Consider the following 14,657-nt stretch of genomic DNA (forward strand, 5'->3'; position numbering starts at 1 on the left):
TTAGACTGTACCTGGAACAGTGAGCAACACTAAGAACTCCTCTAGTGATCTGGCTCCTTTATACCTCCCCAGTCTTATTCACTCAAAAGAAATTTATAATTTATTGAGTAAATATTCTGGAACCATCCCAGTGCTCTGGGCTGCAAATCATCTGGTAAGAAGGGTAATGATAATGTTCTAAGCATTTTATGGTTAGTTCTCAGGACAGCCTTATGAAGTGGACACTCTAGCTCCATTTTTCAAGTACAGGAACTTAAGCACAAAGAGGTTAATTTTCTTGCCAGTGGCAGCCCAGCTAGTTAAGGAATGAGGATGCCAGGCCTCCAGTCCAGGAAGACTATCCTGTGCCCAGACTAGCAGAACCTGCCTCCCACCATACTTGCCTCACACAAGCCTGATCATAAGAATCACCTGGGTGCCTATTAAAAAACATTCATTTGGACCAAGGAGCCCTGGCTCCCTCAGACTGAGCAGAGCGCACAGGCTCCTCTCCTAGATGTTTTGCTGGGCCCTGTGGGATGGGAATTTAAAGGAACCTCCACTCCTCTGACCTTGGACCATTTACCCTGTCAGCACTTTGTTAACTGTTTTAGCTAGATCAGGCTATTAACTGGACCAACGGAGGCCTTTACGTGGTTTGAAGTAGAGGGAAGAAAAATTAAATTTCAGCCAGGTTCTCAAACCCCTTAAGTTTCCTATGAGTATCTGAGATAGCACTACTTTGCTTTTGGGAAGTCAAAAGGTCAAAATAATAAAATCTTATGGAGCAATCTAAAGTAGATTTCCCTACAAATCTGAAGGCACTTGCACATTCTCCTTTTTATTCTGGACTTCAGATTTCACTTACATATACCAGACTTGTTTAAACTTTCCATGAATGTCACCCTCTTCATTCAAGCTAAGAATTTTTTCCCAAGACCAAAACTGACCAGAAAATATGCATTCTGTTAAGTCAATTCCATAGGCTAATGTGTGGGCCGAAATAGGGGAAGAAAGAAGGATTTAAAATGTTTAGATAAAGGGCTTAGTTGTTTATTCCAGCCTCCAACATCAGAGATGGAGCGGTAACTCAAGTTTGGGAAGTGTGGAGGTGGGGAAAAGCCCACCTTTTAACTCAAAGCAGATAACAGCTGCTTTCCTTAAAATACAGTGCAATGGACAGGAGAACAGATGTTTTTTCCTTAGGGCATCATTATTCTTACAGCAGGAAGTTTTCTTTCTTTCCTTTCACAAAGAACATTCTAAAAGCTACAGGATGGAAGCCAGCATAGCTTGTGCCTCTTTCCATTATCTACTGTAATTCCTAATCTCTCTCTCTACTAAGAGAAAAGAATCTTTTCTTTTGATTGTTTGGTCACACCACACTACAACTCAAACATTCTGAGCTGACCCAGTGGGGACATGCAAACATTTTCCATAAGAGCCTTGTGGTCAGTGATATACAGGTTCAGAATTCTGGGATCTATTATTAACAAGCCATGAGAAGTCAGAAATCCTTTCAAGCTCTTGTACTCTGCTTCTTTGACCATCACAAGAGAATTCAACTTTCTGTTTAACTTAGAAAGGCTTGGGATAAAGGTGATTTTAAGTAAAACATAATTACCTATTATTTTTACTTATCACATTGTAGGATAAAATATTGTACATTTTACTAATAGCAGGAAATAAATTTACTAAGCAGGGAATAAAGTATGTGGTATTTCTGGCATAGGATGTATATACAGTTCCAGATTTTCACAGTTTCTTGTTTTAGTGACTTTTATTCATTAGAATTAGCAAATTTAGATTTCTGAGTTTGATTTTCTTCAGGGGATTTTATTATTGCATTACGGTTTTGAAGCCTAACAGAAAGAACATATTTTACAGAGTCTGTAAAACAATAAGGTACTATAAATATAAATATGTATATGTATTTTTATGGTTGGGTAATCCAATTCAAAACCACTGGAACTGTGATACCACCTAATACCACCCAATATTGCTTATTTATATGAGAGCACAATGTCTCTGAATTCTTGGACAAAACAGTTAGTTTAGATATTAGTGTTTAATTCAAATATGGTTAAGCTCTTACAGGACTATGGTTTTAATGTCAAATTAACCAAATATGGAATGCAAAAAAAAAATAAAAAAACAAAGCTCATTGGGTTAAAGATTCAATCTGACAAACAATTTGATGGTATATGTATTCTTCTGAGTTCTTCAATTGTATCTGCCACTCAAACTAATAAACTAGTGGGCCTCTAGTGACTCTTTAAAGGAATTATATCATAAGTCTTTTTATGATCCTTTTCTAATACCATGGCCCTCTTTTCACCATTCTTGCAAAAATTAAAAATTAAAAAAAATTCAACTCTGGACATGAAAAGTCACTAAGAGTGGAACGAGAGTTAATCTTTGAGTGCAGGAATGTCTTGAGTTAAAGCAGTAGTGAGAGTTATAAAAATATTTTAATTTTGCAGTGACCTTAAAACTAATTGTTCTAAATACCATCTAACTGATGAGCTAAATAGTAAACTGATGTGCAGCTGACAAAATGCTAGATCAACTACCATATTTACATTTCAGCATGAGATGATGATCAGAAACAGAAACTTAAAAGGAAGGTGAAGCAAGTGATAAAAAGGAATGTCGGCTATTGGGGGTGCTAGTCCAGATGTTCCACTGACTTTGTCACCCTGAACAAGATGTTCAATCTCTCTGCCTGCTTTTTTGAACGTGTAAAAGAAGGAAGTTGGAGTAGACTATCTCTAAGGTTTAACATTCTCTGATATATTAATACATTTATCTCTGTATCCACAGGGCTCAAGCACCTCTTACTGCCTCCTCACTCTGGAACCAAATGCCTTACTGTAAGTGGCATCTAGATCTTGCCAGTGACTTTCCTGTACAGGGCCTAAACTCAATCTCTGGTTTTCTCAGCATTTAAGGTACATGGACAGGTGCACCTTGGCAGTTAAGATTATGTTGTATTTTTCATGCTCGATTCCATACACATCACTTTGGTCCTGCTTCCTCACAGGTAGGAGGAGGGATATTTCACAGCTCCTGGCTTAAATGGAGGACACTAGCCTCTACTGGGTTAAAGTAGTGGAGGGTTAGACTCAATATGTGGTAGCCTCTCTTCTTATTGCAATAATGTTCTAAATTTTAAAAACTGACTTTTCTGAAATTGTCATTTTTTTTTTTCAGGGATGGGGGAAGTGTCTATGTATTTGTCATCTGTTTTTAAGGTTAATTAATAATCTCTCTCACAAGAGAGAAAAAGAAGGCTCTCTTCCAGGCCTCTTTGTTTCTTCTCTGCCTAGAATGCATATTCCCATGTTTTCACGTAGCTAATTCTTTAACTTTTTTTATGTCTCAGCTGCATCAGGGAAACATTCACTAGTCCTTGTGATAGCAAGGCTCCATTAACATCTGTTTCAACCTTTTTCTAGTGAGTCTTCATCTTCCGAAGAGGCTAGACAGCTAACAAAAATACATTTCCTTGACTCTCTTGCAACTTGGATTCCAGATAGATTTGGTTTCGGCAATGAGGCAAACTTGAGTGAGACTTGAATTTCAAACTAATGTAGTGACACATGGGAAACTCATTATTTTGGGGGGACGTGACTCTAGAGGGAATACTGCAGTCCTGCAGCTTGCAGTTCTGCTAGCAGCTTTCTGACTCTGGCCTATGTATGTAGAAGTTTCCATAGTGAGCCAGAACAGCAATTTTGTTCTAGGACTTATTCCTGGGATGACTTACCTACCCTTTCCAATGATTTGAAAGTACTTAGTTAAATTCTTTTCTGCTTAAAATAGCTACAGTAGTTGCTACTACCTGCAGTTGAACCCTGTTGATGCTCTATTTTGCAACGAAAGCATGTGTAGGCAACAGACTCTCAAAAGTTTGAATATTTGACCTGATGAGTTTGAAGGCAGAGGGGATCCGTTTCCATTAGAGCAGCAGTTCTCAAAGTTAAGTTCCTGGACCAGCAGCATCAGCATCTGGGAACTTGTTAAAAATGCAAATTCTTGGGTCCCAACACAGACCTACTGAATCAGAAACCCTGGGAGTGGGGCTCAGCAATCTGCGTTACAAAAACCTTCCAGGTGATTCTGATGAATGCTGAACTTTGAGAACCACTGCATTAGGGATAGGTTATTGGTAGTAAATAGTAGTTAACAGTCATTTTAAGTGAACAGTTTAGAAAAAAATGCCTTTTTGTGGACCCAGTGGTGACTGCCATATCACAGTGTGATGGGCAGAAACTGTAAGTGGGTTGGCTGCTTCTTGCTGTGTCAGAGAGATTAAAGAAAGAAAATGAAGGGCTCTGGGCTTTAAATTTTTGGCTCAAATAATGGTCTGAAAACTAGAGAAGTTTTATGGCTTTCCTAAAACAGCCTATTTCTTGTAGTACTGATGTAGCCAAAACCCAAGTGTAGTCTTATCCTACAGGTTGGTGAATTACAGTGTAGGTTGAAATCACAGACTTGCCACATCTCCTATGTGAAAGTTAAAGCACTGATTAGGAAGGAGTGGAGCACCAAGAAATGAAATTGAGACATATGAAAAGATCTGGATAATGACATGTATCTTAGACCATTCACTCTAGAATATGTTTCTATGTAATTTCACAATGTTTTATACTTTACAGTCCCACCTCTTTTTCCTAATTGTAATTATACAAATTGTATAATTATCTTATATATGACTTTTTATTCACTGTTATATTTGGAGCACCTAATATAATGCCTGCATAGAATAGGGGTTAAATATTGAATGAATAAATAAATGGGTTTTTAAATCATCTAGTACCTAATCAGTTTCTCCATATTATGCAGAACTATTTCATATAAATTTAATTTGGCATAGAGCTATAGTACAGTATTCATATTAGTAATGAACTATACTATGGCGGAAACAACCAATATGTTGTGGTACATGCCTTTTTCTCTTAAAGTTCAATTATTCAATTTATTTTCTTTTGAAAAATTTTAATAATTGAGTTTCTTCTTTCATCTGCACAACAAATACTCCATTGCTGTAATTTTTAAAAATCAGTTACAGCTTGTCTTAATAATCATTAAGATTTGATTCTCTCACTTCCAACAACACTGAAAACCCAGGATGAGAAAGCAGTGACCAAAAAGTTTTCCAATTTTTAGCTGCTTTCGTAGGAAGTTACTGAAAATGGTGAATTCCAGATTGTTCCCCATAAGTAGAGAACTGGTTATACATTATGAATAAAAAGTTTACACTTTTTTTGTGCTTACAAAATATGACATATTTTCCCCCAGTAAGCTTTCCACCTACCTAATTCAACTTAAGCTAATTTAAACATGAGTGTATAATTTCTTTTTTTTCTTTTTTCTTGAGACGGAGTCTCACTCTGTCATCCAGACTGGAGTGCAGTGGCACAATCTTGGCTCACTGCAACCTCCACCTCCCAAGTTCAAGTGATTCTCCTGCCTCAGCATCCTGAGTAGCTGCGACTACAGATGCATGCCACCACGCTAGCTAATTTTTGTATTTTCAGTAGAGACAGGGTTTCACCATGTTGGCCAGGCTGGTCTCACACTCCTGAGCTCAAGGATCTGTCCACCTTGGCCTCCCAAAGTGTTGAGATTACAGGTGTGAGCCACCACGCCTGGCCAAAAAAATGAGTGTATAATTTTTTGAGTGCTTATTATTGGAATCGCTAGTGCAAAAAGGCTTGGAACATCATAGGAACATAAAGATTTCAATGGTATTGCTACTAGATATTGAAAATTGATGTTCCCTCCCCCACCTATTGCCACTATGAGCAATAACTAATACTTAATGGAGCAAATGTACCAGGAACACATTTGCTCTGATTCTGTGAGGTAAATTCTTTTATTATCCTAATTTTGCAGAGAAAGAAACTGAAGCACAAATAAGTCACATATTTGCCTGAGATCACACACCTGGAATTTGAACCTAGGTATCTCTCTCTCTCTAGTACCCAATGCTCTCCATCTTGCTACAGTCACAAATATGAAAGCTGACAATGAAAATGTTATCTCAGTGTCCCTCAACATGGCTGGCTCTATCACCAGTTTGTAGGCTGTTTTATATATTTAATCAACTCTCAAATTATTTCTAGTTTCTTCATCATTTTAAGGGAAAAGAAAGCAAAATCTTATTAAATGTATTGAAGGAGCTTGATCTGTGTTTCTTTTTCCTTCATGCTAGATTATAGGCTTTCTAAAAGTCTGGGTTTTCCAGAATCCATTCATTGATTCATTCATTGATTCAATCATTAGACAAAACACATAAACCAAGTTCATGTTAAGCAATCACTAAATGACAGCTATTATTATTATCACCAAGAACTAACAGCCTGAAGGGAAAGATAGATACATAAATGAAATACATATTTTTTAAGTGGAATAACAGAAGGAAGTATGTTAGTAGCTTGCCCAAGTGATCCCTAACAACACAATGATAGAGAATGTGAGTCCACATTTTACTTTTTTCATTAAAGAGAATCTTTCCTGAGCTTTATCAATGCCTCACTTAAGACAAATGACAGCCCTTCTTTTGTTCAACTTTTTATCATTATAATGGCCATTCACACAACAAAAGGGACATACTTGTGTCCCTTTTACACAAGTATAGAGAGTGCCTTTTTGTTTATTCAATAGAGAAGAAACTTTATAGAAAATAATACATTTATAAAATGTATGGTCTCCTTGAAGACCATAAAGCATGTGTTTGTAGAAAATAATATACTTGGGTAAAGTAAATATAATGATCATTTAAAAATTATTACGTTTCTAATTTTTAGTGGATGCCTCATGAGAAAGGTCTATATTTAGGCTACAGCAAAGTCTCTGGTAACTTCAGCAGAAAATAAAGACATGTGGCTACATGGCTACGCAATTTGCTCAATTGTGTAATCTTTGTACAAAAAAAAGGTCATACTGCTATCAAAGGCATTCTGCTTGCCTTAGGTCTGAAGCGTGAAATCTTAAGAGCCAAAATAAAAATTACGGAAACTGGAAACAATTCCTAATAGCCAACTGCTAAGAAAAGAAAAGGCTCTTTATTCAGAAAGTTATTTATTAAAGTAGTGTGAAAAGAATGGCAGTAATGGAACTTGGTCTTTCATAAAATGTCAAATTCTTCCAATTAGCCTCAGTGTTGTATAAAGGTATTTTGTTATATTGCTCCTTGGTATTTATTCAATATAAATGGTCCACAGGAAAAAAGGTTTCAATCTCAATAATCCATTTTTAAAGAAATTATTTTTATTATATATTTGATGGGTTATATCAGTGGCTGTAAGGAGACATCTCCTGCCAGGTGTTTTAAGCCCTTCTTATTGGCTCTGACCACCACTCCTACCTCACAGGATACTTCTTAATGGAGAGCAGTTTAATTCCAGGTCTTTGAATAAAGCCACCTTGACAGCTGCCACATTACACCTTATGGAAGACCATTATCTCTTTTCTCCACTTTCCGCATGCCCAAGAGGGGTGTTTTTAAAGAAGAAACCACACAATTAGTTTATAAGGCTTTTAGAATTTATCTTTTTCGAAGAGGGAAGTGAATCCAAAGACAGATAAGAAAGAAAACTACTTTTAAAACGGGAATGAGTATGAAATTCAGTAAATCTTGCAGACAGTAAAGAAATGAATCAGGCACAGTGGGACTGGACTAGTATATTTTCTTTAATAACAGCATCAACATGTTATATGATTTTTCCTTTTTTTCTAACATTATATAAGTGAATCCCTTTAAATCTCAATAAGAAAGAGGCACCGACTATAGAAAGTTTTATAATGTGCTTATAGTTTTTCAAAATCATATAGAAAGCATGTAATAATGTTAAGATTCTGATATAATATGCATACATTTATAAGAAAACTTTTAGAGTAAATTTATGATTGCAATTGGGAATAATATACACAGATCTGATTACCATCTTGGTTATTGAGTTCCAAATAAAAAAAATGACACTAAAACTATGGTGTTTAGAACTATACACAGTAGTTAGTAAAGAAGAAGCTCAAGAACAGTGCCCTCATATTTTGGAGCTAAGCTTATCACTGGAAGTAACCCACTAGTAAAATCAAATCAAAACAGACAAGATTAGCTTGTCACATGAAGGCAGAAAGAATCAAACAGAAAATCTAGTAGGTCTTGCCAATGTGAAAAACATGTAGCCCAGTTAATGTTACATACATCTACAAAAATCAATGTCTCAATCGATGGTGTACAGAAAGTCCAAAGTATTGTTTCAGAGGATTTCTAGGACTGTTTGAGGAAGATGATGCCTTGGGGCTTCCCAACCACTGAGTTGTGGACTGGTACCCGACCGTGGCTGGTTAGGAACCAGGCCACATAGCAGGAGGTGGTGAGTAGTGGGAGTGAGAATTACTGCCTGAGCTCTGCCTCCTGTCAGATCAGTGACAGCATTAGATTCTCATAGGAGCATGAGAACTGTACATGTGAGGGATCTCGGTTGCATGCTCCTTATGAGAATCTAATGCCTGATGATCTGAGGTGAAACAGTTTCATCCCAAAACTATTCCCATACTGACTATATCTCCATTCCGCCCGCCCCCCAACCCAACCCCTGGAAAAATTGTCTTCCACAAAATCAGTCCCTGGTGCCAAAAAGGTTGGGTACCACTGCCTTACTGGATGCCATAGGTAATTACAGTTCAGTGATAGTGGTTATCAAGATAGTCGGGCCAATACTTCTTTGTTAAATTATCTGCTCAAAATTTTTCCATTTATAATCTGGCCATCCATACAGAGTTTTCAAAAAATGAAGGAATATGATGGTCATCTTGACATAAGGAACTTGATCAGTGCCATAACACTGACTTAGGCATCAGAGATTTGGGTCAGGTACCTGGCTCCGCCCCTTACTGCTGTCACCTGCAGCAATCACACACATGTGTGATCAAGACAGGGTCATGGGAAGTTTTTGGCTCTGAAAGGTTAAGGTCAAGATGAGGAAAATTCTGGCCTAAGAAATCCTGCCTAAATGGTCAGCTAAGCTATAAGGACTGAACTGAAACAGCACTGCCTCCGTGACAAAAATGAGAAGCTATTTTATAAAACCAAACCCTGGTATATATTTTACTGTTCTAACAAGAAAGGAAGGTTGCCGGGACTGACCCACAGACCCTGACAGAGCAACAGATGAGAAAATGCACTCTGACCCAGATATCCAATGAAAGAGCAGGCTAGGGGACCAGGTAACCCACAGAAAGAGTTGTAGCAGCTGCAGCCCTGACAAGCTGGGGCTGCAGGCATTTATTTAGTACAGATTTAATGACAGAGGCCTTGAGTCAACACACTTGTGGGTAATTAACATGGTCACCCCTCATCCCCTTTCTATCTAACCTAAGCTTTTAGGCACCGGATAAGAGAATCTGGCTGCCTTCAGCCAAATCCTTTTCCGAAGCTTTTGTAAAACCTCCCAGCCTTCCAAGAAGGTTTGCATCTTTCCACAGTTTTTCCCGCCACCCTGACTGATCTCCTACAGAAGGCAAAAAAGGCTGTCAATCAATGAATCAAATATTTACTTCCTAGTTTTTCAGATAATAAATAAGCACTTATTATATTCTGATAATTAATTAACTTTCTAATAACCATAACAGGTCAGCCGGGGTCCTTTTATTATTATCTCCGCAACTTGCAACTAAGGATCATTAAAAGATATATGCAAAATGCTCAGTTTAACACCTAATTTATGCTACACCCAATTTTAAGCCAAGAGAAGGTTAGATTTATAATGGGATACAACACTCAAGCAACAGAAGTGGAAAAAATAAAGATTCTGAATTTCCTATCCACTAATTACTTTGTTATAACTGGAGAAATTTTTCTGGACACAGGCGTAAATATTTAGTAGATTTAATTCTCTTAAGAATAAATTTGTTAAAATAAAAATTAAGAAAATATTTGATAGCTTTTCCATTTATTTTGGGTTTTAAATTGAGATAACCAGACAAACGACAGCAATTTTGGTGATTGCTGGATGATACAAACACCTGTGTAGCTAGGGCTGTACAGGCATTTTTATTTGGTTGACAGACAACTAGAACTGAAATCAGTTGCTGAATTTCAACCAATTTAAGTGAATTACTTGACCTACAAGCTATGTAACCCTAAATTTCTCAATGCAGCTGCCAGAAATCTATTTTCTAAATGCAACAACAGCTGGTTTTGAACAATACTGGAATATAGCAATTTTCAGTTATTCAAAAGTATTTTTCTCTTGCTAAAATTATAAACATTGAGAAAATAATTTTCAGATTTTTCTGAAAGACTACTATTTTCAAAGTGAAAAACAAACTTGAATATCATCTTTAGAAATTATTGCTAGCTTTTTTTTTAACCTAGAACAACACATATAATGATAGAGTGTAACCCTCACCTTCATTTTAGAAATAACTTAACCCTGCAGTGCCTGCAGGAACTTCAATATGTAGACAATTTCTAAATCACCAAACATATTGCTCGAAAACTACATCCTTCTAGGAAGAATAGACAAATGGGCCAATTAAGCCTGAGGTGAATAATACTTTAAACCTGTAAAGCTTTGTAAATAATTGAAAAACTGTTCATCACTTCAAATACTGTCATCAACATACAAAATAAATATAGACAATTCCATATGAGGTTAACTCAAAAAGGACCTTAACCTTTCAGGTGCAATTAGTATCTAAAGTTCATAGAATTGTTCTTGGCAGTTAACTCAGTTTCACTGGCAAATGACTCAGTTTCTTACTCATGGATTTAACTGAAAATGTTTACAAGTCCTCATTTTACTTTGTTCTGTCTAACTTACTCTCTCTCCAGTGCTGTGCAATCTTGTGTGGGCTCTGGATCCAGACTGCCTGGATTTAGTACTGGCACCATTCCCTCCTTACAACCTAATGAGATCCTGAGAAGCACAATAGAAACTCTCTAAGCCACAAATTCCCTCTTACAAAATGCTAACAATACTGATCATTTAGGTTGTGGATTCAGTAAACTTAGTTGACTTACACAAAGAACTTAAAACACGCTCGGTATACAGGAAGTGCTCAACAAATGTAGCTATTATTATTATCTGTATCCTCTTGTTTGGGCAAAAGAAATGTTGCTCTTTCATGCCTAGCCCTCTTCAAGGTCCTTATCTCTTCACTGTCTTGCATTGTTATTCTCACACTGACTCCTGTGCCTCCGCCTTTGCCTAAGAACATTCTGCCTCTCTTGCTTGTGAGCAATGCCAGCTCACACATTCAAAACCTAACCAAACAATAAAAAACTTCACATGATTCGGGCAACATCCTTCATAGCTGCTCCTCCACTCTGTTTTACACAAAACATTACAATTTTTGAATAGTCTATATTCATTTCTTCCACCATTTACTTTTACCTTTTGCAGTTTCACTTCCCTGAAACTGCGTTCTCAATAATCACTTAATCAACGAATCCACAGCAGCTTTTTCACAATCCTCATATTTCTCATCCTTCCTACCACTGATGAGATCTCCTCCCTTTTTGAAACTACTTTATTTTGCCTTCTGTGCCACTGCACTATCCTAAATCTTCCTCCTTGTTTAACTACCACTTCTCTACCTTCTTGGCTGTTTTCTTTTCCTGTTCCTTCCATCTAAGGCTATATTCACAGGAGTTCTGTTCTCAGTCTCTCTACCTCTCTGCATTCTCTCCCAATTGATGCACCCCTATGATTTCACTACCATGGGATGTTAACTCCCAAATCTCCACCTCTAGTTCTAAACACCACCACCTCATCGCTTGAGTCCTGCCTTTTCTGATTGCTGAAGATGTTCACTTGGTTGTTCAACCAGCACCTCAAACTTACCTTGTCCTAAATCAAACCTGCAGTTTCAGGGAAGTGAAACTGCAAAAGGTAAAAGTAAATGGTGGAAGAAATGAATATAGACTATTCAAAAATTATAATGTTTTGTGTAAAAGAGAGTGGAGGAGCAGCTATGAAGGGTGTTGCTTGAATCATGTGATTCTTAATATTCATCTTAATATTTCCACTTTTATGAATTAATGTCACCATCATTCTTTGAATTGCCAAGGTCAAAATATTTGGATCATCTTTCCTGTCTCAGCACAGTGTTCTGTGCACAAGCTCTGGATGGTGAACTTGTATCCTCATTCTTTCACTGCATGGCAGTGACCTTGAGCAAGTCACTGGGCTTCTCCAGGCTTCAGTGCGGCCTTCATAACATAGTTATGAAGTTTACATGAGAAAACAGTTGTGCAGTTTACATGAGAAGATGTACATAAGGGCACAAAGAGTTTAGCATGTGGCAAACTATGATGAGGATGACAGAAAAAGACTCTCAATGATCTGTTCACACTTTTCTCATTCCTTACATAACTGTTGTCACAACTCACATGGCCCTTACCTATGTCATCGCAAATACATTTAAACACAGGAGGACAACCTAGGTTGTAAAGTGTTAAAGTGCCTCAAATTTTCATTAATCTCAACCAAGCCATTCCAAACCAAGACCTACAACATACATCTACTTACATATCCATGTGCTTTTCTCTCATTGTATGCTAAATAATGCAAAGAGAATTCAGGAACTGACCTTATTTGACCCCAATTTCAAACAGCATTTTATAAGCCATATGGTCAGAAATTAAAATCACTCTCAATTCTTGATAATACAGAGTAGGTATCAGTAACAAACTATAAATTGTTTTGTTATTACCCTAGCCAAACAACCACCTCATGGTCCCCATTTCTCCAGGAACTAAAAGAAAAGTAAATTTAATTTTGGCCCCAAAAAGATGTAATGATTATAACAATTACTGGAAAACAAATATCAGAATCATACACTATATTACACAGTCAGTATAAGTTATTTAATGCCTTTTGCTTTGTATTATCAGTGACTTTGCATCCCTGCAAGAAAGCAGAGTTAATTAAACATTTTTATAAGTATCCATCTAAATATTTACCAAATTTGGTTAAATTAGGTGTCTGTAATTAGTAATTTTTAAAAAGAAAGAGGATAATTACCGCTAACGACTGTAGCTCTCTTGTTTCTTCCTCTGCTGCTGAAGCATGATACGACAGAACCTACAGGGTAGGAAAAGAAGTCCAGGTTACACAGGAGAGAACTACCACATGTAGACTAGAACTTCAAGCTTGGAATTCTGCTAAGTCTTCTTGGAGAGATAATTAGACTCCTCAGAATGCCAAATCTTGTTTGCTGTTTTCTTCAACAGTGAAAAACCCAGATTTAGATTCCATTGCTTGTTTTGGAAAACAAAAAGTTATACTCCCTATGTTTAAAGAAAACTCTTGTAACTTCCAGTCTGACATTATTGCTATAACAAACACATTATTTATAAGCCAGCCTAGAAATAACTTTTGGCTCAAACTTTGGCAGAAAATTTATTTTGTTTTTTTTTTTTAAGACAATATTGACTTTAGCTATTTCTGCTTGTGTACAGAATTAAAGAGAAAATCTCTGCATAATCTGACATTTTGATATTAATATTTGGAAAGAAAGTAGTCTACAAGTGGCTCTCAGATGAGGCCTGTAACCATTCTAGAATTCACACAGAAAAACTGGATGCCTGGGACACAGTCATGCAGATTTAAGGATCCCTTTACACTCCTACAATTTAAGAGGTGAGAAGAGAGTAGTGCTGGCCTGTAAAGCCATCCATTGACAGTTGGGGACACTGAGCCTCAGGGAGTCACATGATTTGGCTGTAAGCTCACACCTAGTGAGAGGACAAGGAGATTTAGGACCCAGCTTTCAATTCCTAACCTATACACGTTCCATTACTTAGAGTTAAAAAATCAGGCTTATTAACTTAATTTCCATTTTCAAAAGCAATCATTTCTAATTACAAGTTGAGCATCCCAAACCTAAAAATCTGAAATCCAAAATCCTCTAATGAGCATTTCCTTTTGAGTGTCATGCTGCTGCTCAGAGAATTTTGGATTTTGAAACATTTTTGAGTTTGAGATTTTTGGATTTGGACTGCTCAACCATTAAGTATAATGCACATGTTCCAAAAATCTGAAAAAAAATGCAAAATACAAAACACTTCTGGTCTCAAGCATTTCATGTAAGGGTTACCCAAACTGCAATGGGATTTTTTTTAAACATTCTTTTAAACCAAGGTAGTGGTTGTATTTAAAGTATCTATCATGCTTTGAAAGCATATTTTTTTAAAGTTCATTTTTGAGAGAGACAACACAGATTTACAAAAAAAACCCCAAAAGCTTAAAAAGCATTGATGAAAAGGTAGCTCATTTTCAAACTTTAAATGGTGAGTAAAGTAATTCAGCAACCCAAACCAGTATTTCTTGAACCAGTCTTTAAAATTTTAAGTAATTAAAAATTTAAAGCCAAATGATACATATTTGTACTATCTTATGATTTAGAACTGTTACCATACTGCACTACATTGCATCTTTCTTGCCATTTGAACCATTAGTCACTAGGAAACCTCAAGAAACTCACAGCTGCTCTCTCCTGCACGTGTGAAATTGATGGGTCATGGCTATAACCTGTTGCTACTGAGACTACAGTGGTGGTTCCCAAGAAAAGCTAATACTGTGTCCATGAGTTAGACTAATATTAACAAGTGCAGTGCAACATGGATACATGAATAAAGAAATGACACAATACATTCT

General features: G+C 36.7%; 1 protein-coding gene across 4 annotated transcripts in view, besides 1 other annotated feature; it reads right to left on the minus strand.

The window, feature by feature from the left end:
• PDE5A (phosphodiesterase 5A) overlaps positions 1–14,657 on the minus strand; it is a 134,402-nt gene that overhangs the window by 31,535 nt on the left and 88,210 nt on the right. For all 4 annotated transcript variants that reach the window (NM_001083.4, NM_033437.4, NM_033430.3 and 1 more), the window contains exon 11: positions 13,023–13,082. In NM_001083.4, the coding sequence (NP_001074.2) occupies positions 13,023–13,082 (60 nt within the window). The remainder of the gene's footprint in view (positions 1–13,022; positions 13,083–14,657) is intronic.
• Positions 6,177–6,786: an enhancer, noted in NCBI's record as "OCT4-NANOG hESC enhancer chr4:120453269-120453878 (GRCh37/hg19 assembly coordinates)". NCBI's record gives its function as "activates a minimal SCP1, AML or CMV promoter by ChIP-STARR-seq in primed H9 embryonic stem cells {active_cell/tissue: H9 hESC(primed)}" and the evidence as "EXISTENCE:reporter gene assay evidence [ECO:0000049][PMID:30033119]".

The sequence above is a fragment of the Homo sapiens genome, chromosome 4 (assembly GCF_000001405.40).
Source record: "Homo sapiens chromosome 4, GRCh38.p14 Primary Assembly".
Taxonomy (NCBI): Eukaryota; Metazoa; Chordata; class Mammalia; order Primates; family Hominidae; genus Homo; species Homo sapiens.